The sequence below is a fragment of the Homo sapiens genome, chromosome 1 (assembly GCF_000001405.40).
Source record: "Homo sapiens chromosome 1, GRCh38.p14 Primary Assembly".
NCBI classification, from domain to species: domain Eukaryota; kingdom Metazoa; phylum Chordata; class Mammalia; order Primates; family Hominidae; genus Homo; species Homo sapiens.
This window is the reverse complement of record NC_000001.11, coordinates 165,656,538-165,680,831: the sequence shown is the minus strand read 5'-3', so window position 1 is coordinate 165,680,831 and position 24,294 is coordinate 165,656,538. Positions and strand designations below refer to the sequence as shown.

The 24,294-nt window shown below is 40.7% G+C and overlaps 1 protein-coding gene and 2 pseudogenes across 2 annotated transcripts in view, besides 1 other annotated feature; 1 reads left to right on the top strand and 2 right to left on the bottom strand.

Annotated features, from left to right (window-relative positions):
* Positions 1-18,616, top strand: part of ALDH9A1 (aldehyde dehydrogenase 9 family member A1) — a 36,347-nt gene extending 17,731 nt beyond the window's left edge. For both annotated transcript variants that reach the window (NM_000696.4, NM_001365774.2), the window contains exons 5-11: positions 149-345; positions 1,250-1,390; positions 11,382-11,570; positions 11,819-11,906; positions 13,382-13,523; positions 15,702-15,814; positions 17,688-18,616. In NM_000696.4, the coding sequence (NP_000687.3) occupies positions 149-345; positions 1,250-1,390; positions 11,382-11,570; positions 11,819-11,906; positions 13,382-13,523; positions 15,702-15,814; positions 17,688-17,782 (965 nt within the window). In that variant the 3' untranslated portion in view covers positions 17,783-18,616. The remainder of the gene's footprint in view (positions 1-148; positions 346-1,249; positions 1,391-11,381; positions 11,571-11,818; positions 11,907-13,381; positions 13,524-15,701; positions 15,815-17,687) is intronic.
* RPL21P27 (ribosomal protein L21 pseudogene 27) lies at positions 4,016-4,560 on the bottom strand (annotated as a pseudogene).
* On the bottom strand, positions 9,101-9,576 carry RPS13P1 (ribosomal protein S13 pseudogene 1; annotated as a pseudogene).
* Positions 23,600-23,766: a silencer, noted in NCBI's record as "fragment chr1:165626303-165626469 (GRCh37/hg19 assembly coordinates)". NCBI's record gives its function as "represses an EF-1alpha promoter that drives an FKBP-Casp9 reporter gene in an ReSE screen in phorbol 12-myristate 13-acetate-treated (for megakaryocytic differentiation) K562 erythroleukemia cells {active_cell/tissue: K562(+PMA)}" and the evidence as "EXISTENCE:reporter gene assay evidence [ECO:0000049][PMID:32094911]".

Below are 24,294 nucleotides of genomic sequence, written 5' to 3'. Positions count from 1 at the left end.
ATATGGTTATTAATAACATTTTTGATGTAGGATTTGGTTGGGGAAGAGGAAACAATTGGAATCATTTTTGAATTGTCCTCTAGTCCTGTTTTCAGGGGATCACTGGTCTTAGAAAGTCTTTTTATGTTTGTGTCTTGGGTTTATGCAGGTAATGCCATGGTCTTTAAACCTTCTCCCTTTACACCTGTTTCTGCATTGCTACTGGCTGAAATCTACAGTGAGGCTGGTGTACCTCCTGGGCTCTTCAATGTGGTGCAGGGAGGGGCTGCCACAGGCCAGTTTCTGTGTCAGCATCCCGATGTGGCCAAAGTCTCCTTCACTGGAAGTGTGCCCACTGGCATGAAGGTGAGGACAAAACCAGTATTGGTCAACACACATGGCATTTGGATGTGGCAAATCCGGTCCTACCCAGAGTATATTTTGGAGGCTTCTCTTTTGATTTTACCTAGCCTGAATTGGGAATGGGAAGGAGATTTTATTAGGCAGAGGTGTGAAATTTCCTGTAAAAGTATGAAGGGGGAAAGGGAGTACACATGGGGTGATTTGTGTTAGGCCAGGTAGGGGTGGAAATTAACAGCCCCAGCCTAAGGAGAGGATGTGTCTTAGTGGACAGGGGCCTGGGCTGCCACTTGTATTGTTTAGTGACTTAATTTCTTGTATAGAAGAAAGGATTTTTACTCAGGCTATTTCAGATCCATTATTTTGACATTAATTTGTGTTCTGAACTCTGTCAGCCTTAAACACAGTAACAATAACACAAAAGAATTTCTGGCTATGACAATCCTGTGAATTGACAATATTTTTTATTTTTATTTTTTTGAGACAGGGTCTCACCCTGTTGCCCAGGCTGGATTATAGTGGTGTAGTCACAGCTTACTGCAGCCTTCAACTCCTGGGCTCAGGCAGTCCTCCTGCTTCAGCCTCCTAAGAAGCTGAGACTACAGTCATGTGCCACTGTGCCTGGCTAAGTTTCTTATTTTTCTGTAGAGATAGGGTCTTGCTATGTTGCCCAGGCTGGGACAATATTTTTTAAATGAACTCCCTCTTCTAATGTCAGTGCAACTCTGTGGATTCTCTTCAGTTTTCTGGAATAGAATATTTTAATAGCCAAAAGGCAAAGGATATTGACAAGAATAAGGCTACAGGTCACAAACAGTTCAAGATGATTTTGTAGGTTCAGGGCCTAGTTGACTTAGCATGCAATATAATTTGTGTTAAAGTTCTGAATACCTTGTCCTTGTTCTGCAAGATCATGGAGATGTCAGCTAAAGGAATCAAACCTGTTACCTTGGAACTTGGAGGCAAATCTCCACTCATCATCTTCTCAGACTGTGATATGAACAATGCTGTAAAGGGGGCGCTGATGGCCAACTTCCTCACACAAGGCCAGGTATGTACCTGTCCCTGGAAGAGGTGTAAAAGGAATCTCTACCCCCTCATCCAACAGTGTGTTTTAAAGCTTTTTGTTTTACAATACTTTCAGACTTACAGAAAAGTTGCACAAATAGTACAAAGAATTCCCATGTACCTTTGAACCAGATTTCTCAAATATTAACATTTTAACAGATTCACTTTATCATCTTCTTTATCTGCCTGTACATACGTAGGCATATTAAGTTTTTCTGAACCTTGAGAGTAAATTGTAGACATAAGGCCCCTAACCTCTAAATATAAAGTTCCTAAAAACAAGTGCATTCTTTTACATAAGCACGGTACACTTAGTAAAATTAAAAAATTAACATTGATATAGTACTGTTACTGAATCTATAGCCCTTACTCAATCTATAGCCCTTATTCAAATTTTGCCACTTGTTTGACTAATGTCCTCATAGTAAAATAGAACAAAAATGGTTTTTTTTCCGGTCTAGGATCCAGTCAAGGATGATGCATTGCCTTTAGTTGTCTTGTCTTTAATCTCCTTTAGCTGAGAACAGTTCTTCAGTTATTCTTGTCTTTCAGGACGTTGACATTTTGGGAGAACAGGCCATTCATTTTGTAGAATGTTCCTTAGTTTGGGTCTGTCTGATGTTTTCTGTTAGATTCATATTATGAATTTTTGGCAAAAATACCACAAACATGATGTCATATCCTACTCAGTGGTGATTTAACTTTGATCACTTGCTTTAAGGTAAGTCCTCACTGTAAAGTTACTGTTTTTTACTTTGTGGTTAATAAGATCTTGTAGGAGGTATTTTGAGACTATCCTGTTCCTCATCAAACTTTCATGCAGTAAATACTTCTATCACCACTGACGATTCTTGCTGAAAACAATTTTTATTATGGGGTTGCAAATGGTGATTTTCCAATTCCATCATTTCTTCTATATTTGTTCACCTTCTACTGTAAGAAAGAACTTGCCCTTCACCCCTGTTTGTTTTCCATTCATTTATTTATATCAGTATGGACCCATGGATTCTTATTTCATTCTATGTGTTATAATCCAATACTATCATTATTTATTTATTTTTTATTTTTATTTATTTACTTACTTATTTTTTGAGACGGAGTCTAGCTCTGTCCCCCAGACGGTAGTGCAGTGGCACGATCTCGGCTCACTGCATCCTCTGCCTCCCAGGTTTAAGCGATTCCCCCGCCTCAGCCTCCTGAGTAGCTGGGATTACAGGTGCCCGCCACCATGCCCAGCTAATTTTTGTATTTTTAGTAGAGACAGAGTTTCACTGTGTTGGCCAGGCTGGTCTCAAACTCCTGACTTCACAATCCACCCACGTTGGCCTCCCAAAGTGCTGGGATTACAAGTGTGAGCCACTGTACCCGGCCTTTATTTTATTTTTTTATTGAGACGGAGTCTCACTCTGTCACCCAGGCTGGAGTGCAGTGGCACGATCTCAGCTCACTGCAACCTCCACCACCTGGGTTCGGGTTCAAGTGATTCTCCTGTTTCAGCCTCCCAAATAGCTGGGACTACAGGTGTGTGCCACCACGGCTGGCTAATTTTTTTTTTTTTTTTTTTTTTGAGACAGAGTCTTGCTCTGTCGCCCAGGCTGGAGTACAGTGGTGCGATCTCGGCTCACTGCAAGCTCTGTCTCCTGGGTTCATGCCATTCTTCTGCCTCAGCCTCCCAAGTAGCTGAGACTACAGGCACCCGCCACCACGCCTGGCTAATTTTTTGTGTTTTTAGTAGAGATGAGGTTTTACCATGTTAGCCAGGATGGTCTGGATCTCCTGACCTCATGATACACCTGCCTTGGCCTCCCAAAGTGCTGGGATTACAGGCATGAGCCATTGTACCCAGCCTCATTATTTATTTTGATGCTAAAATAATTGCAGATGGCTGGTGGGAATCCCTTTCCGTGACCTTTTGATATGCCCTCATTATTCTTTGAATACTTCATTACTTTCTGGCATAGCAAAGTGTTCCAGACTCATACTTCCCCTGGCTGTGCTCTGGAACCAGCCATTTCTCTGAAGGAGGCCTGGTTCCATTATTGTTTATCTGTTTATTATTAATTTTTGAGACAGGGTCCTGCTCTGTTGCCCAGGCCGGAGTGCAGTGGTGCTTTCTTGGCTCACTGCAATCTCGGCCCCTCCAAGGTCAAACAATCCTCCCACCTCAGTCTCCAGTGTAGCACACCACCACATTCAGCTAATTTTTGTATTTTTTGTAGAGACGGGGTTTCACTGTGTTGGCCAGGCTGGTCTTGAACTCCTGGGCTCAAGTGATCCAAATGCCTCGGCCTCCCAAAGTGCTGGGATTGCAGGCATGTGCCACCGTGCCCGGCCTGTTTTTTATTTTTTGTAAACTTTTTTTTATGATTTAGAAGGACTATCTTCAAACCAGTACAAGTATTTCATAAATAATATCTGATTGTTTTCTAACCAGTTGAGTAATTTGTTGCACGATAAGCCACCTCACATCTTTCAGCAAGAAAAATACTAAGTCTGAACAGTAAAGACATTACACAATGAGTTAGGACACAATTAAAATCTGCTTTAAATATTTTTTTGGGGGAGAGGACACCACACTTCTCTACTAAATAAAGAGAAACAATTTTGCAGTCCAGAGGTCTTTTATTTTTTTATACCTATCATGCCATGAATTCATAGGGAATAGGTTCCAGCAGCTCAGGCTCCTTCCCGTTGGTTCTCACACAGTGGGATTCCCTGGGTGGAGTAGGCTGGTGCTTCAGCTGAAACCAGGTACCTTTCTCTTTGGCTTCCTTCTTTTTCTGATCATCTTCTTTCATGCATTTCAGAAGCTATCTTGGGTCTTAGAGCGCTTAATGTGCTCAATGTGCACGTTAATTCTCTTGGCAAGAATTTTGCCCTTAATTTGTTTACAGCAGTGCCAACAACATGCTGGGTAACATTGTAGACTCTTCCAGTTTTTCCCAGGTAATGCTTTTGGGCATTCCTTTTTGAATAGTACCCGTTCGCTTGATGTCTACAGTATTGCCTTTCTTATAGATTTGCATGCACGTGGCCCAAGGAACAACTCCATGTTTTCTAAAAGGCCTAGAGAACATATATTGGGTAATTCTTCTCTTTCCCTGTGTTTGTCGTTTTGGTGAATTACTGGAAGACGGCAGTACCAACCAAAAGCCCTGGTTCCATTTAGTGGTAAATGGTATTTAGAAACCAAGATCTGAGTGCCAGGTGTGCTTGTTGCTACTGGTGTATCATTGCTTCTAGGCCCTCTCAGAGGCCAGTGCTGGGAAATACATGTTTGTATATATGTCTGTGCACATATCTAGTTCTGTATCTGTCTGTCTACATAATAATAAGTTCATCCAGATACTTTAATTATAGTCTAATACCACAGGGTTCATTTCTGCCTTCTCCCTTTCCATATTTGTATTTGTTCTCTGACAGTAAGAAATTTGACTCCCATTATCCACAATGTTTATCTAATTGCTCATCATAGAATACACTTAGTATTCTAATAATAGTAGTTTCAGATTTGTAAATCCATACCTCTGTGGAAAATAAACCTTCTAATTAGAGCTCAGAATTTTTTTACAGTTGTTTTTATATTCAGCGTGAGAGTATAGTCAGAATACTGTGTTCAAAAGTTACTTGGGTCAGTTCTACCTTTCCTTCACCCTCCTTCAGTGTGGTTATGATACTCATTTAAAATAACAGATTCATTTGTTTGTGTTTGTATTCATTTGGGTTTTATTTCCCCCATCCTTGCTGATTTTAAAATTTTATTTTGATTAGGCAAAACACAAACATGGTTCTAAACATCAGAATTTTACAAAAACAGATACTCAGAAGTGTTACTGCTCCCCATCCTGTGTACTCTGTTTCCAGTGCCTCCTTCCCACCCAGTTTTGTCCATCTCCTGTGGGTAGCCAGTCTGATTTGTTTCTGGTTTTTGCTTCCTGTGTTTCTTTTTCCACAAATGAATAGGTACTTGTATATTTCTTATTCTTCTTTCATACACAAAAGGTAGCACATTAGAGGTACTCTTTTGTACTTTGCTTTCTTTGCTATGTGTGTGTGTGGATGAATATACACACACAAAGAATACATATAGTATAGAATATATAGAATAAATATATAGAATATTCTACATAATCTGTACTATGTATACTTTATATATATATAGAGAGAGAGAGAGAGCACTAAAAATAATTGTGACGTAATGTGAATTTATTTTATTATTATTATTTTTTCGAGATGGAGTCTCACTCTGTAGCCCAAGTTGGAGTGCAGTGACACGATCTTGGTTCACTGCAACCTTCGCCCCTGGAGCTCAAGCGATTCTCCTGCCTCACCCTCCCAAGTAGCTGGGACTAGAGGCATGCGCTACCACACCCAGTTAATTTTTTTGTATTTTTAGTAGAGACAGGGTTTCACCATGTTGGCCAGGCTGGTCTTGAACTCCTGAGCTCAGGCGATCCACCCGCCTCAGCCTTCCAAAGTGTGGGATTATAGGCGTGAGCCACCACGCCTGGCATGAGCCACCATGCCCAGTGTGATTTTAAATATGTATCACAATTTATCCGTTCATCTGGCAATGGGGTTATTTCCTTATCTTGGTTATTGTGAATAATGCTGCACTGAGCATGGGAGTGCAGATATGTCTTTAAGCTACTGATTTCATTTCCTTTGGTATATACCCAGAAGAGGAATTGCTGAATCATAGGATGGTTCTATTTTTAATTTTTTTTTTTTTTTTTTTTGATTCGGAGTCTCACTTAGTTGCCCAGGCTGGAGTGCAATGGCACGATCTCAGCTCACTGCAACTTCCGCCTCCTGGGTTCAAGTGATTTTCCTGCCTTAGCCTCCTGAGTAGCTGGGATTACAGGCATGTGCCACCACGCCTGACTAATTTTGTATTTTTAGTAGAGACGGGGTTTCTCCATGTTGGCCAGGCTGGTCTCGAACTCCTGACCTCAGGTGATCTGCCCACCTCGGCCTCCCAAAGTGCTGGGATTGCAGGCATGAGCCGCTGTTCCCTGCCAATTTTTAATTTTTTAAAGAGCCCCTATCCTGTTTTCCTTCATGGCTATACTAACTTACATTCTTTTTTTTTTTTTTTTTTTTTTTTTTAGTGAAAGGAAGTTTATTAAGAAAGTAAAGGAATAAAGAATGCCTACTCCATAGGCAGAGCTGCCCCAGGGGCTGCTGGTTGCCCCTTTTTGTGGTTATTTCTTGATCGTATGCTAAACAAGGGGTGGGTTATTCATGCCTCCTCATTTTAGACCATATAGGGTAAAATGACGTTGCCATGGCATTTGTAAACTGTCATGGTGCTGATGGGTATGTCTTTTAGCATGTTGATGCATTATAATTAGCATATAATGAGCAGCAATGACGACCAGCGGTCACTCATCACCATCTTGGTTTTGGTGGGTCTTAGCTGGCTTCTTTACCACAGCTTGTTTTATCAGCAAGGTCTTTATGACCTGTATCTTGTGCTGATCTCCTATCTTATCCTGTGACTTAGAATGTCTAACTTCTTGGGAATGCAGTCCAGTACGTCCCAGCCTTATTTTACCCAGCCCCTACTTAAGATGAAGTTGCTCTAGTTCAAACACCTGTGACATTTCCCCTCTCCCTTTTATAAAAGAACCCTTAATCCTAAGGGTTGCAGAGGGACAAAGATCCATCTTCTGTAAACTTTTTCATGCTGAATAGGGGCAATGATATTCCTGTCTAATTATTAGGGTCTCTTGTATTCAGGATAGAGAGGAGCTCAGTCAGAAAGCGTCAGGGTGAGGGTCGCTTATAACTCTGAGTTCCGACAAAAGGTGATATCCAGAGTTGGCCAATCAGTGCTGCAGTCTATTTCTTTTGGGTCGGGAGGATCTCCTCAGTATTGTCCCTTCCATGGTTTGCCAGAAAGATGTTACTGCAAAGGGGCCCTGATCCAGACCCCAAGAGAGGGTTCTTGGATCTTGTGCAAGAAAGAATTCAGGACAAGTCCATAAAGTGAAAGTAAGTTTATTAAGAAAGTAAAGGAATAAAGAATGGCTACTCCATAGGCAGAGCAGCCTATACTAATTTATATTCTCACCAGCAGTATACCAAGATTTCCTTTTCTCCGCATCCTCACCAACACTTGTTATCTTTTATCTTTTTGATAATAACCATGCTAACAGATATGAAGTGATACCTCATTGTGATTTTGATTTGCATTTTCCTGATGATTAGTGATGTGGAGCATCTTTTCATAAACTTGTTGGCCATTTGTATGTTTCTGGAAATATGTCTATCCAGGTCTTTTGCCCATTCGTAATCAGAGGTTTTTTTTTTTTTTTTTTGCAATTGAATAGTGTGAGTTCCTTATATATTGTGATGATTTTTTTGTGTGTATGGTAAAGCCTAATGTAAAATTTACCAATTTAACCGTGTGTGTGTGTGTGTGTGTGTGTGTGTGTGTGTGTGTGTGTTTGTATTTTTTTTATTTTTTATTTTTTTATTTTTTGGAGACAGGATCTTACTCTGTTGCTCAGGCTGGAGTACAGTGACATCATCCCAGCTCACTGCAGCCTCAACCTCCCAAGCTCAAGTGATATTCCCACTTCAGCCTCCTGGGTAGCTGGGACTATAGGCATGTGGCACCATGCCTGGCTAATTTTTGTATTTTTTGTAGAGATGAGATTTCGCCATGTTGCCCATGCTGGTCTTGAACTCCTGAGCTCAAGCAATTCTCCTGCTTCAGCCTCCCAAGGTGCTGGAACTACAGGCGTGAGCCACCACACCTGGCCTTTTTGAACCATTTTTAAGTGTAGAGTTCAGTGACATTTAATACATTCACGTTGTGTACAACTATCATCATTATTCATCTCTAGAACTTTTTCATCACCCCACATTGAAAACTGTGTACCCCATTAAATAATAACTCTGTTTCTCTCTCCCCTCAGCCTCTGGTAACCACTAGTCTAATTCCCGTCTCTATGAATTTGACTATTCTACGTACCTTTTATAAATGCAATCATACAATATTTATTATTTTATGTCTGGCTCGTTTCACTTAGTATAATATCTTCAGGTTCATCCATGTTGTAGCATGTGTCAAAATTTCTTTCCTTTTTAAGGCTAAATAATATTCCATTGTATGTATGTATACACACACAGCACACATACACACACACACAGCACACACATACCACATTTTGTTTATCCATTTTTTTATTTGTGAACACTTAGGTGGTTTCCACTTTTGGCTGTTGTGAATAATGTTGCTATGAACATTGATGTACAGATATCTATAGTAGAAGTATCTGCTTTCAGTTCTTTTGGGTATATATCCAGAAGTGGAATAAGTGGATCATATGATAATTCAGTGTTTAATTTTTTGAGGAACCACTGTACTGTGCCCTACAATGGCAGCACCATTTTACATTTCTACAAGCAATGCACAAAGTTTCCAATTTCTCTACATCCTTGCCAACACATGTTATTTTCTTATTTTCTTGCTTTCTCTGTTTTTGATAATAGTCATCCTATTGGGTATGAAGTGGTATCTCATTGTGGTTTTGATTTGCATTTCCCTGATTATTAGTGATATTGACTGCATATGTAATTTTATAAGATATTGCCAAATCCCTCTCTAAAAGGAAATGTTGCATTCTTTTTTTTTTGTTTGTTAGTTAAGCAATTATTTTATTGCTCAAGTACATAGACAAATTTATGCAACCAGGGCAGAGGCTGTATATGATTCATATTTCCAGTTGGGAGAGAGGACTCACTTGGTCTTATAATATCGAGCCAAACAGTGAATCCGGCTCTCTATCAGAATCAGACAGAATTTAGCATCCTCATCCTTTCTCTTCCTCTCAAGAAGCTTTTGAACAGCAACTGCTGCCTTAATTAAATGGTAGAGATCTTCAGGGAGATTAGGAGCGGTCCCTTAGACTTAAGAATTCTTAAGATTTTATTGCCTGTCACAAATCGTACTTGTGCAGCATCATGTGAATCTCTCAGGATCCCACCGATTTGTGAAGGAGTCAGGCCCTTCTTGGCCAGTTTTTAAATCTGCTCCTTCATGTCGTCAGATGTCAACTTCAGCCCCTACTTCAGCAACCCCACTTCAGTGGGGATGCTGCAGCGATAGAGCAAAGCTGACTGAGACAGACCCTTCCCAGAAGCGTGCATGTGACCCATGATGGCAGCTGTCAGGCAGCAAAAGGAACATTCTTACTAACGATGCATGAGTACCTATTTCTTCATAGCCTTTCTTAACAGCATATATAGTCACAATTTTAAATTTTTATCAGATAGATGAGAAGTGGTATTTCAGTATAGTTTTAATTTCAGTTTGTTTGTTTGTTTATTTATTTATTATCTTTGAGACGGAGTCTCGCTCTGTCGCCCAGGCTGGGGTGCAATGGGACGATCTCGGCTCACTGCAACCTCCATCTCCCACGTTGAACTAGTTCTCCCACCTTAGCCTCCTATAGCTGGGACTATAGGTGTGCACCACCACACCCAGCCAATTTTTTGTATTTTTAGTAGAGATGACGTCTTGCCATGTTGGCCAGGTTGGTTTTGAACTACTGACCTCTAGTGATCCACCTGCCTCAGCCTCCCAAGGTGCTGGGATTACAGGCCTGAGCCACTATGCCCAACCTTGTTTTACAATTATGAATGACATTGAACGTCTTTTTCAAAACTCACATATAATAAAATTCACATTTTTGGTATGTTATATTATGAGATATGATTTTCCATTAATTGTTAAGAGTTTTTTAAAATTAGTGATGATAGCCTTTTATCTGAGGTAAATGTTGCAAATAATTTTATTCCAATTTTTTAATGGTCTTGGCTTAGTTTAAGGTATTTGCCATGCATAAAATTTTTATTTTTCTATAGTCAAATTTATCAATTTTTTTTCTTTAATTGTGTCTAGATTTTGGGTAATAGAAAACCTTTTTCTACACCTAGGTTTTAGAGGAATTACCAGTATTGTCTCTTTTTTTAAAAAAAAAAAAGTCTCGCTCTCTCATGCAGGCTGGAGTGCAGTGACGCAGTCAGGGTTCACTGTGTGTATCCTTGACCTCTTAGGCTCAAGTGACCCTCCCACCTTAGCCTCCCAAGTAGCTGGGACTACAGGTGCGTGTCACCACACCCAACTAATTTTTATGTTTTTTGTAGAGATGGGGTTTCATCATGTTGCCCCAGCTGATTTTGGACTCCTGAGCTCAAGTGATCCGCCCACCTTGTCCTCCCAAAGTGCTGGGATTACAGATGTGAGCCACTGCGCCCTGATTTCTTATTTTATATTTTGATTCCTGATACATTTGGAGTTTATTTTTATATGTGATGTAAGATATGTATCTTATTTTATGTTTTCCACATTACTGATGATTTGTTCTAGCACCATTTATTTAGTTCATCTCTGTCCTAATAGTTTAGCTTTCACTTTTATCATAGACTAGATTTCCATGAGCACTTGGCTGTGTTTTTGGACTTTTCTGTTCTGTGTTCTTACAGCATTTGAACAGTTTTTATGTTCCTTTCTATAGGAGGGTCTAAATAGTGATTATTAGTGATTTCAGAGACAAATTTTTTAACAATTAGATTTAAGACCACAGTTCTTGATATAGGTTTACTGTTAAGTTCCCTTCCATTCTTAAAATATACAGCCAGATTGAGCCCTGATATGAGGAAGTAGGAGAGGTGCTGTGGGTTATATGGATCTAGTAATGGCCTTTAAAAAATTTAAACAAGCAAAATAAGAACTAACTTTTACCTCAAAGGGCAGATTTTGCTTGTGGAGTGGTATGTCCACAATTACGTGTGTGATCCTTCTTATTCAGTATGGAGACAATTTTTAGAAATGGAAATATCCTTTTAAAAAATGTATAGTGTCTCTTTTCAGTTTAAAGTTTTTAGATTGTGTTCATTTTTCCTTTTCCCTTTTTTCTCCTTACACACATAGAAATTGATGTCTTGTGTTTGTCCTTTAGGTTTGCTGTAATGGCACAAGAGTATTTGTGCAGAAAGAAATTCTTGATAAATTTACAGAGGAAGTGGTGAAACAGACCCAAAGGATTAAAATTGGAGATCCCCTTCTGGAAGATACAAGGATGGGTCCACTCATCAACCGACCACACCTGGAGCGAGTCCTTGGGTTTGTCAAAGTGGCAAAGGAGCAGGTAAGAAATAATTGGCAGTAGGGTGGGGTTGGGGAAGATTATACTACTCCTAAATCACATGCTTTGTGCCCTTTTCATGTTAATATTCGTATGACTATTATTCATTGGACTATTAGCATCCCTGGCTGTGTTCTGCTTTGTACCTGCACTGGGAAGACTATGTGTTTGTTCGGGATACAATTAACATTTCAGGAATGCATTTTGGGGTTATATTTTTAATACAACATATCTTTTTTCCTTTTCGGCAGGGTGCTAAAGTGTTATGTGGTGGAGATATATATGTACCTGAAGATCCCAAATTAAAGGATGGATATTACATGAGACCTTGTGTATTAAGTATGTCCTCTTTTTGTTTGCTTTTAGATGATTTGAATTAAATACTGAATAGATAGAGATGAATATTTATAAAATATGTACATGATATAAAGCAAGGGCTGGCAAATTATGTGGTCCTACTACCCAAGTTTAAGAAGTAGAACTGCTCCATTATCTTTGAAGCCTTCTGTGTGCCCCTCCTTTAGGGCACCCATATGTATTAGTTTATCCAGGACCACAACTATTGTTCTGGAAGCAAGGAGCTCAAAAATATGAAAGTGCATATTTGATTAAAAAAATTAATAAATTTAATTCCTTGAGAAAATAAAGAATGTTTTTCATGTGACCTGTAGATCATTGTATTAGACATTTTGCATTGCTATGAAGGAATATCTAAGACTGGGTAAGTAGAAAAGATGTTTATTTGGCTCATGGTTCTGCAGACTGTACAGGAAGCATGGCACCATCATCTCCTCCTGTTGAGGCCTCAGGAAGATTTCAGTCATGGTGGAAGGTGAAAGGGGAGCAGACGAGTCACATGGTGAAAGAGAGAGCAAGAGAGGCACCAGGCTCTTTTAAACAGCCAGCTCTGTGTGAACTCACAGAGTGAGAATGCACTCATTACCATGGGGAGGACATCAAACCGTTCATGAGGGATTTGCCCCGTGACCCAAACACCTCCCACTAGGCTCTACCTCCAACAATGGGGATCATACTTCAACATGAGATTTGGAGGAGAAAGGCATCCAGACCATATCAGTCATCAATATAATAAAACCAGTATGTCAGATAATATACTAATCTTTTTAGAAATTACATAATTTAATAATTTTTAGCACCTCCATTCAGTCTTAAAAATCTAGTTTTGACAGTCAAGGTGTATATGGGCATCCTACTCCCACCCATCTACTTCCCTCCTACTTCAGAGGTAACTACTATTCTCAGTGTTGTTTTTATCATTCTTATGCTTTTCTCTATCATTTTATAGTGTATGTTAGTATCCCCTACAAAAATGTTGATAGTTTTGTAGGCTTTAAACAATTATATGTAGGTTGAACCATGTTGTATAATTCCTTACATCTTATTTGGAGATAAATTAAGCTGGTTTTTGCCCCTAAGGTTAATAGTGGTGTCAGTTTTTAACAACTTCATATTTGATGCAGTATATAACCTTTAATCCTCACTAGAAAGAACCATTGACATTTAAAAGCTGAAAACCTAATGTCCATCCCCCATGAATTAGGTTGCAGTTATTACATGAATATTTAATAAATAGGAAAAGCTTACAATACATTGTTAAATTAAAAATATTGGGGCTAGGTGCAGTGGAACACCCCCAGCACTTTGGGAGGCTGAGGCAGGAGGATCGCTGGAGCCCAGGTGTTTGAGACCAGACTGGGCAACATAGTGAGACCCGATCTTCAAAAAATTAGCTGGGGGTGGTGGTGCACACTGTGGTCCCAGCTGCTCAGGAGGTTTTATTTTAATGTTTGCAGCTAATTGCAGAGACGACATGACCTGTGTGAAGGAAGAGATCTTTGGGCCTGTTATGTCCATTTTATCATTTGACACTGAAGCTGAGGTTCTAGAAAGAGCCAATGATACCACTTTTGGACTAGCAGCTGGCGTCTTTACCAGGTATGTGGAGTGGGACACTGAGAGCAGTTTTGAAGGAGCGGGGCTGCAGTATCTGCTTAGATATTTAATTGATCCTATTCTCTCACTTTAGTTTGCCCTCATAGGAGCCATCAGCACTTTCTGTTTGCTTCAGGTTAAGTCAGAAGACACCAAAGCAGCATTTTGCAGTTTGCTGTAAATGGCCAGAGAACCCTGCTATTGAGTTTTAAATTGAGCTCGTTTAATAAACACTTAAGATTCTGATCTATGTAAAGCATTGGGTTAGATGTCTTTTGAAAACACACATGTCAAGGAATTTAGAAACCTGTAAGTATATAAATTGTGGGCAGTATTCTTCAAAAACATGATTTTTAGTGGCATTATAGTAGTTCCTAATTGGAATGCATTATAACTCATGTAGCCATTTTTTCTGTGGTTGGATATTTGGGATATTGTTTCTATTTTAAATATTATAGTAATATGATTAATATCTTTGTGCATAAACTTTACTATTACAAGTAAAAATGATTTGGGAGTACAATTTCTTTGAAACCAATTGCAGATTGCTTGGTTTTATACAAACTTTGATTAGTCTTTGGCAGTGGAAGGCAGTTTGCTAAAGCGGCTTTACACTTGGGATTATGCTGTTTCTTTGGTGATACATAAAGTTCACATTTTTTTTTTTATAACTTCATGGTCAAGAGCTTGGGAAGAAAGCCCAAGTCTCACTTGAGGACCTGATGTAATTGCTTCTCTTTGAGCTCCGAAGAAAAGATTGAGGAGCTGCTCTTTTGATTTGGGGAGTGAGCAGGTTAAGTGCTCTTACTTTACTTTGCCACCCTCGTACAGACAAAGTCCGGTTACAAAGGCGGGTAACTCCAATGTGCTATTCTTTTTTTCTTACCAGCTTTACTGGGATAATGCACATACTGTACAATTCACCCACTTAAAGTGTACAATTCAGTGGTTTTAGTTTATTCATGGAGTTGTGCAACCATCACCATAATCTATTTTTAGGACACTTTCATCATCTCAAGAAGAAACCTTGTGCCCATTAACTGTTGCTCTTCATTCCCACTCCCCACCCCCAGCCCCTGGCATCCACTAAACTACTTTCTATCTCCATGGATTTGCCCATTCTGAACATTTTATATAAATGGAATCATACAGTATATATTCTTTTGTGACTGGCTTCTTTCACTTAGCATAATGTTTTCAAGGTTCATTTGTGTTGTGGCATTTATCAGTACTTTATTCCCAAATAATATTCCGTGGTATGGATATGTACCACTTTTTGTTCGTCCATTCATCTGTTACAGGCATTTGGGTTGTTTTCATTTTTGGCTATTATGAATAATGATGCTATGAACATATGTGTACAGGCCTTTGTGTGGACATATATTTTCGTTTCTGTTGGGTGTATATCTAGTAGTGAATTGCTGGGTAACATGGTAACTTTATGTTTAACTTTTTGAGGAACTGCTAAACTCTTCCAAATTCGCAGCACCATTTTACATTCCTCCGAACAACGTATGAAGGTTCTAATTTGTCCACATCCTCACCAGCCCTTGTTATTGTCTGTCCTTCTGGTTTTAGCCATCCTTGTGGGTGTGAAGTAGTATCTCATTGTGGTTTTTATTTGCATTTCTGTGGGTTTTCTTTTCACTTTCTTGATAGTCTTATTTGTAGCACAAAATTTTAAATTTTGACCAATTCTAATTCTGTTTTTTTTATCTGTTACTTTTGGTGTCATAGTCTAAGAAATCTTTCCCTGACCCACGGTCATGAAGATTTATTCCTCTGTTTTCTTCAAAGAGTTTTATAGTTCTCAGTCTGACATTTTTAGGTCTGTGATGCGTTTAAGTTAATTTTTGTGTATGGTGTAAGAAAGGGCTCCACCTTTATTTTTTGCATGTAGATATCCACTTGTTTCAGCACCATTTGTTAAAAAGACTGTTTTTCCTCCATTGAATTTTGGTACCCTTATTGCTGTTACTTATTTTAAAGATACCATGTGCATGGGACTATAAAACCCAATCCATATCTGTTTTGCCTGGATGATAAAAGATTTTAAAACATTTTGAAGAAATGAGAATTTAGTAAGATTTGAGAACCCTAGAACTGGCAGTGTAACTTTTCCTGTTAAAGTAGTAGCCTAAGAAACTCTCAATAATGCACACATTTTTTTTTTCTTCATAGGGACATCCAACGGGCTCATAGAGTGGTAGCTGAGCTTCAGGCTGGGACGTGCTTCATTAACAACTATAACGTCAGCCCAGTGGAGTTGCCCTTTGGTGGATATAAGAAGTCAGGTGAGGAGCTGGGAGGTGTGAATGCAAACTAGGTCTCTAGAGCTAGGTCGTAATTCAGACCTTATAAACCAGTATTCCTAAACCTGTCTGCATATCTGAATTACCTGGGGAAATACAGGTTCCTGGTCCTTCCCCAGATCCACTGTAGCAGTCTCTGGGAATGGAAGTCAAGCATCTTCCCCTACCCAACACTCCCTAAATCTTTCTGGAGGGTTCTGATGTATAGCCTGGCTTGTGAACTGCTGATAGATATCTCAAAAAGGTTTATCTTGTGGGTAGAATACTTTTTCTTCACAGCCTGTGACTTCTGTAAGCATAAAATCACTCCCTTAGGGGTTCTGTATCAGGGATGTCCATCATCATCCACTGTGGAGTTTTTAGATTCCATTTAGGTAAAGTGTCTTTCAAGTAATAGCTCAGTAACTTTGTTTCCTCTGTTATGTCAAATTAACAAAATCTTTAAATTTATCATTAAGCAATCAATTATAATCGTTTTCATTACCCTTGATGGCATATAGGAGTGTGTTTCCTTAGCCACTGCTCATTCATTTCATTCATTTTATAGTCAGACATATGTTACCACAACATATAAATTTGTAAGTCTGGTATATCAGGAGAAGGTTTGAGGCATCAGGAGTATAGCCAGAACCTTGAGGTTCTTTCTTTGGAGTTTGTTGCCTGTAAATATTCATTTACATATTTCTCATGCTGTTCTTCTAGAGTGAAAATTGGTTTGGACTTTGTCGAGGCACCATTCTAAGAGTCTGACCTCTAGTTTCTGTGGCAAATATTTACAGCCATCACAGTGTTGGCAAATATATAAACTCTGATGAACACTGATGAGATGGTGGGTGTTAATTTGACAGTCTTATTTGTCCCGGTGGGGTACTCAGAGGAGTCGTACACACAGACACAAGTGCAGGTGGGAACCAAGGTGCCATCTTATTAACATGTAACATATAACATTACATGTTAAGTTTCTGATAGTCCCTCAGTGCAGGGAATTATTTGTTTGGAATCAGCAGCTTAGGCCTTTGGAGGGCCTCCTAACTTTCCCTTTCCTTTGGACCAGACCATGCTATGTGGAATGAGAGAGCGAGAAAGATGGCCAGACGTGCAGAGCAACACCTGGCCTAACAGGCCTGACCAGCTGTGTGCTTAGGGGATTTGGAAAGGAACAAAAGACAGAGTGAGGTTTTCCCAGGACCTTTGTGTGTGATACCATTTGAGTGGTGCTCCCTGGAAATGCACATATTTGGGACCTCGGCCTTGCCCTTGGAAGGCAGAGCCTACCTAAGTCTAGCACAGGGTGTACAGGCAGGGCCAAGGGTGGGATACTACCCTTTTAGCACAGTAACCTCACCCACTAGTAATTGGGCAGTGTCTTGAACTCTGAGTAATCAGAGGGACCTTCAGTGACCCCTCACCAACATGAGTGGGTAGGTTAAGTTACTAGGTTGCTCTTATAGGTGTTTAAGAAATGGTGAATAAGCCTATTGTGTAAAGTTTTAAATTAGCATCAGCTTTCAAGGGTGTCAGGTTGATTATTGTAGAGATTGCCTTTAACACTTGATATAAAATCCAAGCATTTTTCAGACCTCAACCCAGAATAGTAGATACCTGAAATTAAGATTCCTATTGGTGAGAAACAAGATCTGTATATTTCCCTATCCCTATCCCCAAATGCCAGTGGGTCATTTTCCCCATGCCTAGCTCCATTCACAGCTAATATGTGGATTGAGGCTTTATTCCAAAACATTTAGGTTCTATATTCTTCCCTAGCCCTGATTAGCAGTGCTCATCTTTGAAGATCATTGTGACTTTTCAGACTATTGTAGTGATGGCTCAACCTGACCCCTTCTCCTCCTTTCAGGATTTGGCAGAGAGAACGGCCGTGTGACAATCGAATATTATTCACAGCTGAAGACTGTGTGTGTGGAGATGGGTGATGTGGAATCTGCTTTTTGAAAACCTGCAGTGAAACCTATTGACATGGCCACGCTGTGGAATGATGTGAATTGGCCCTGTTTACAGAGGCAGTACAACTGAATGTTATTTTACATCCAGAATTTTGGCGTTCAGTATAAGAGAATGGTTCATGTTACTCTTTCTCTCTCCATCAGCTTCCTCACTGAAAATGTGCATTAAGTGCCTTGTAGATACTAATCAAGAAAGCTGTGATTCTCCTCAAAGCGTATTTTTGTGAAATCTTTTAAGAGCCAGTAACATACTTCTAGAGAACAGGAAAAGAGACTAGGATAATACATCTTCCACACATTTGGCCCACTGATAATGTTAATTCTCTGGCGTATTTCAAAGAACTTGTTCCTGGCTGATCCAAGTGCAGTGGTATTTACAACTAATTGATCACAACCAGTTTGTAGATTTCTTTGTTCCTTCTCCATTCCCACTGCTTCACTTGCCTAGTCTTGAAGAAAAAAAACAAAAAACAAAAAAAAACCTTGTTCCTTTATAGGTTCCTGGTAGAATCAGTAGAGATGATTTCAGCTCATTGACATTTTTTTAAGCTATATCCCCTTGTCATTCCATTGAGAAAGCTGACAACTGGGATAGGGAGGGGATTAGATAATAGATGGGGTCAAATTCTGTGTGAATGTGAACTTGCCTAGTAAGCACTTTGTCTCTGTTCACTACTGCGATAGAGGAAATCTATCTCCCTATCTTGGGTCCTTGAACTACAGCCTGCTGTCTTACACCAGTGGAGCTACCCTTTAAATGTACAAATTATTTGTATGCTAATGTAATATGGTGAAATTAAAATAAATCACACTGTTAATTGTTTTCCTATCGTGTTTTGAAACTAAACGTATCTTGAGGTTATGGGAGGACAGAGGATAGGGCTGATGTTAGAAGCACAAAGCAGGGGGATTTGATCTTGTAGTAAGAACAAAAGAACAGGTTTGGTTGCAGTGATGAACTTTATGGTCCAGGTAAGCATTTAGGCTCCATGTTCATTCTCACCCGGATAAGCAGTGCCTGTCCCTGAAGAGTTGTCAGGTCACTGTGGCTTTTCAGACTATTGCAGTCATGCCTCACTCTGCCTCCTTCTCTTCCTTTCAGGAGAAGAGTTTATAAATCATAGCTAATTTAGTAGTCAGAGATAAGGGATGTTTGTTGTCACTGGGCCTGGATCTAATTATGTATTATGATGAGCAAGTACTGTAGTTTTAGAGCATAAGAACAACCAAATCAGCCTTTCTTGGTATTTCTTTGCACAGAGGACACATATGTGATACTGGACAAAGCCAATAGCGTTACCCTGTGTCCAAGGGGATCCTATGCACCTTAAGCAGTAGGAGCTGCCTGGGAGAAGATAAGTTTCTGATAGTCCCTCTAAAGCAAGCTTGTCCAATCCGCAGCCCACAGTCCATATGCAGCCCAGGACAGCTTTGAATGCAGCCAAACACAAATTTGTAAACTTTCTTAAAACGTGGGTTTTTTTTTTTTTTGGCAATATTTTTTTCTTTTAGCTCATCGACTGTCGTTAATGTTAGTGTATTTTATGTGTGGCCCAAGACAATTCTTCTTCTTCCAGTGTGGCCCAGGGAAGCCAAACGATTGGACACCTCTGCAAGAGAAAACAGCAGGGGAAAGGGAAGCAACATTTAAGTACTCACTGTTCCTACTGCTACATTCCTTCTCATTTAATACACTAAGCCTAAGAAAGGGATTATCTCTGATTTTCAAATGAAGAAACAGATTTGGAGACATCTTGGTCCCAGGCAAGTGTGATATTTTATGCCTATATATAAAATTATGTATCTTTTCATCCATGGTTCCTGGCTCATAAGTCCCTTGGTACGGTTTTTTGTTACAATGTTGGGGCACTTTAGGCCTCAGAAAACAGAATGTCCCTCTCTGACCTTCTGCCCTCCTTTTTACCTGCCCAAGGCTGGGCTCTAATCTTCCACCACTTTTCTGATTATGGGTCATAAGACCTTCATTTCAGAAGGGGTCCTGCCTGCTGCCCTGCAGGAAAAATGCTGCACAAGCCAGGAATCTGAAGACCCTTGCTGGGTTTCCCCGCTCAGCCTCCTTTGTATTAGATCATACCCCTTTAGTCCAGTCACATTTCTACATGGTGTCTGTGCTTCAGTCATGCCTCTCTAATGAAGTCTAAGAGGCCCAAGAGGACGGGCTTCAGGGAGCTCCTGGAGAGCTGAACATGTGGAGGTTTATAGGAGGGTGAATAAGAACATGTGCATGTGCCAGGAAGGTGGTGCACCCCAACTCCACGGGAACAGAGGCTCCTGTGCTTGGGACCCTTGCAGACCTGGCCGTATGTATCCCTTCATTTAGTTGTTTATTTGTGTCCTTTAAAATACTCTTTTTTTTTTTCCCCAGAAACAGGGTCTCACTCCATCATCTGGGGTCTCGCTCTGTCATGTCACTGAACTAAAGTAGAGTGGTGTGATCATAGCTCACTGCAGCCTCGACCTTCCTGGGTTCGAGTGAACCTCCCACCTCTCAGCCTCCCCAGTAGCTGGGACTACAGGCATGTGCCACCAGGCCTAGCTAATTTTTGTGTTTTCTGTAGAGAAAGGGTTTCACCATTTTGCCCAGGCTAGTCTTGAACTCCTGGGCTCAAGTGATCCTCCAACCTCAGCCTCCCAAAGCACTGGGATTACAGGCATGAGCCACTGCACCTGGCCTAGGATATTCTTTTTAATAAACTAGTAAATGCATGTCTCAGTTCTGTGAGTCACTGTAGCGAATTAACCGACCCTCAACTTGAAGCCAGTTGATCAAGTTCCAGAAGCCTGGACTTGCAGTTGGTTGGGGTCACGGGCAGTCTTGTGGGACTGAGCCCTCAACCTGTGGGATCTGATGCTATCTCCAGGTAGATAGTGTCAGAATTGAACTGGAGGATGCCCAGCTGGTGTCCACTGCAGAACTGATTTGCCTGCTTGGTGTGTGAACAGAAAACTCCAACATTTGGTCACAGAAGTCTTCTGTGTTGATTGTTGTATGAGAGCAGAGGAAAAACAGTTTGTCTTCCACATCAGCAAGTCTATAAGTTGACTGGCAACTTCAAGCCAGGTGTGAGTCTCCAATTCCTGTGCTTTCTGCTACCCTCTCTGTTTCCTAGAACTGAACCCAGTATATTAGTTTCCTATGCTTGCTGTAACAAATTACCACCAACTTAGCAGCTTAAAACAACACAAACTTATTATCTTACAGTTCTGGAAGTCAGAAGTCCCAAAATGGTTTCACTTGGCCAAAACCAAGAAGTTGTCAGGGCCACACTCCTTGAAGAGGCTGTAGGAGAGAATCCTTTTCCAGCTTCTAGAGCGGCATTCCTTGCATTCTTTCGCTCGTGTCCCCTTCCTCTTAGATGCCAGCAGCTTAGCATCTTCAGAATCTCTCCCTGCCCTGCTGCCTTCTTCTCTGTGTAGTCAAACTTCCCTTTGCCTCCCTCTTAGAAGAACACTTAAAGGACATTTAGGGCCCACACCTATAATCTCAGCAGTTTGGGAGGCCAAGGTGGGAGAATTGCTTGAGGCTAGGAGTTTGAGACCAGCCTGGGCAACATAGTAAGACCCCATCTCTACAAATAAAAAAAAAGGAGTGTGGCGGCCCATGTGTAGTCCCAGCTACTCGGGAGGCTGAGGCAGGAGGAACACTTGAGCCCAGGAGTTTGAGTTGTAGTGAGCTAGGATCATGCCACTGCACTCAGCTTGGGCAACAGGGTGAGACCTTGTCTCCAAAAACAGAAATGAAGACTCTCAATTCCCTCCTCAGACCTATGAATCTGAATCTGCATTTTAATAAGATCCTCAGGTGACTCATAAGCACAAGAGTCTCTCAAGCACTGCTTTTACAGCAATGGTTCTCCACTTTCACTGCACATTAGAATTGCCCAGTGAGAGCTTTAAAAATACCAAGATTCTCATTTAATTGATCTGGGCATCTGGATTTTTTTTTTTTTTTTTTTTTTTTGAGATGGAGTTTCTCTCTTTTCCCTCTTGTTGCCCAGGCTGGAGTGCAATGGCACATTGGCGGCTCACTGCAACCTCCGCCTCCTGGATTCAAGCGATTTTCCTGTCTCAGCCTCCCGAGTAGCTGGGATTACAGGCATGCGCCCCCACACCCAGCTAATTTTGTATATTTTGTATTTTTAGTAGAGACAAGGTTTTTCTATGTTCGTCAGGCTGGTCTGGAACTCCTGACCTCAGGTGATCCACCTGCCTCAGCCTCCCAAAGTGCTGAGATTACAGGCATGAACCACCGCACCCGGCCTGGACTCCTAAAAGGCACCCAGATGAGCTTAACAGACAGCCAAGGTTGAAAACTGCTGCTTTAAGAGCTGTGCTATCCAAGTATAGTAGCCTTAGCCATATGTATATACTTACATTTAAATTAATTAAAAATTCAACTCATCAGTTGCTGTAGCCACATTCAGCTCAGCCACACATGGGTAGGGGTTATACTTTATTGGACAGTGCAGACAGAATATTTCCATCATGTCAGAAGGTTCTGTTGGATAGTGCTGCTTAAGAGGGAAGGAACTGAGACTACTCAGTTTTTTATTAAGTTAGGAGAGCACCTTTGGAGGCGAGTGCTATTAGGGATGAAATAGAAAGCTGGGCAAACTCTGTGGGTCCTTAGAACATAAAGAAGATAACCCGGTTGCTGACTTTTGCTGAACAAGCTACATCAGCAGTTGGCTCTCGTGCTTCCTACCACAATTTGTGTGGCTACAAGACCCCTGGTAGGCACTGTGCATGCATTATTGTTTGATCCTCATGAACTTTATATGATAAAAGTATTTTCATATTCCCAACTTACAGCTGTGTAAGCTGAGGCTTAGGGAGGCTAATAAGCTTGCCCAAGGGCACACAGGCACCTGAAGGTGGGAATACTTAAGGTTCACTATGGATCAATTAGGCATTTATAGGCTGGTATGGCTGTCTGATTTTCATCTAGCAAAATTCAGAATGTGTTTCCCTTATACAAATAAATGGACTCTTTGGAATGTACACTGCCAACAGATTAGTATTAAATAGTTAATGGTAGAAATACTTATGCCAAGTTTTTCTCCACAAGACAAGGGACTAGCTTGTAAGAGTTATTCTCTAAGCAGTCTTTACCAACTGGATTCTGCCAAGCCCTAGGGTTCCCTGGAAGTGCAGTGAGTGGGGAAGTAGGGCACTGAAAGGCAGAGCTCTCGGTTCTGCACTTCAACCACAGCGCCCTTTATGTACCGAGCTTCCTTACAAAACTCCATCTGAACCCAGTGCGCAATAGCAAAATGACAAACTGGGATCACATTACGGATGCTCAACTTATGATGGGGCTACATCCTGAGAAACCCAGCACACGTTGAAAATATTGTAAGTTGAAATTGCATTTCATACACCTAACCTACTGAACATCATAGCTTAGCCTAGTGACCTTAAACATGCTCCGAACACTTACATTAGCCGACAGTTGAGCAAAACCATCTGACACAAAGCCTCTTTTATAATGAAGTGTTGAATATCTCATATGACTTATTGAATACTGAAAGTCAAAAACAGAATGATTGTATTGGTACTCAAAGTACGATTTCTACTGAATGAATATTGCTTTTTTTTTTTTTTTTTTTTGAGACAGTCTTGCTCTGTCACTCACACTGGAGTGCAGTGGTGTGATCTCGGCTCACTACATGTTCCGCCTCCTGGGTTCAAGCGATTCCCCTGACTCAGCCTCCCAAGTAGCTGGGATTACAGGCATGCACCACCATACCCAGCTAATTTTTGTATCTTTAGTAGAGATGGGGTTTCATCATTTTGGCCAGGTTAGTCTCGAACTCCTGACCTCAGGTGATCTGCCCGCCTCAGCCTCCCAAAGAGCTGGGATTACAGCCATGAGCCACCATGCTCAGCCTGAGTCTTGCTTTTGCACCATCGTAATGTTGAAAAATTGTTAAGTTGAACTGTCATAAGTTGGGGACCATCTGTAGTTTGAAAAGTACACCCTGTTAAGACTTTTAAAGGTGAAAAGCCAGCTTCATCTCCAGGTCTTCCCTGCCCTGCTTCACTGATGCCTGCTGTTCTCTGCAGTGAGAAAGGAAACCTCGGCAAGTTCTCTGGCCTCTCTAGATGTGTTTCTTATGAAGCAAAAACCAAAACCCTGTCTTATTGTAAATTCTCAATTATATCATTTTTTCAAGCCAGGACCAAAAATCCCTACCATTCATCGTCACCATCATTTCATAAAGAACATTTTAATGTAAAAAGTACAAGTCAAAGCTTTATGAAAAACAGTCCCTCATTTTCCTTATTTTGCTCTCCACTGGTGAAACTTTCTCATGAACTAACACTGGAGTGTGTGCTAAACTGGTCCAGCCTCCTCATCAAATGCCCCAAGGGCTCCAGGTGGCCATTTGGCCAAGGCTGACCATCTTCAATGGCTGGCCATGGCATTCTATCCTTAAATGCTTCATCTTCGGAGCTTAAGCAATAAACTGGTACAAT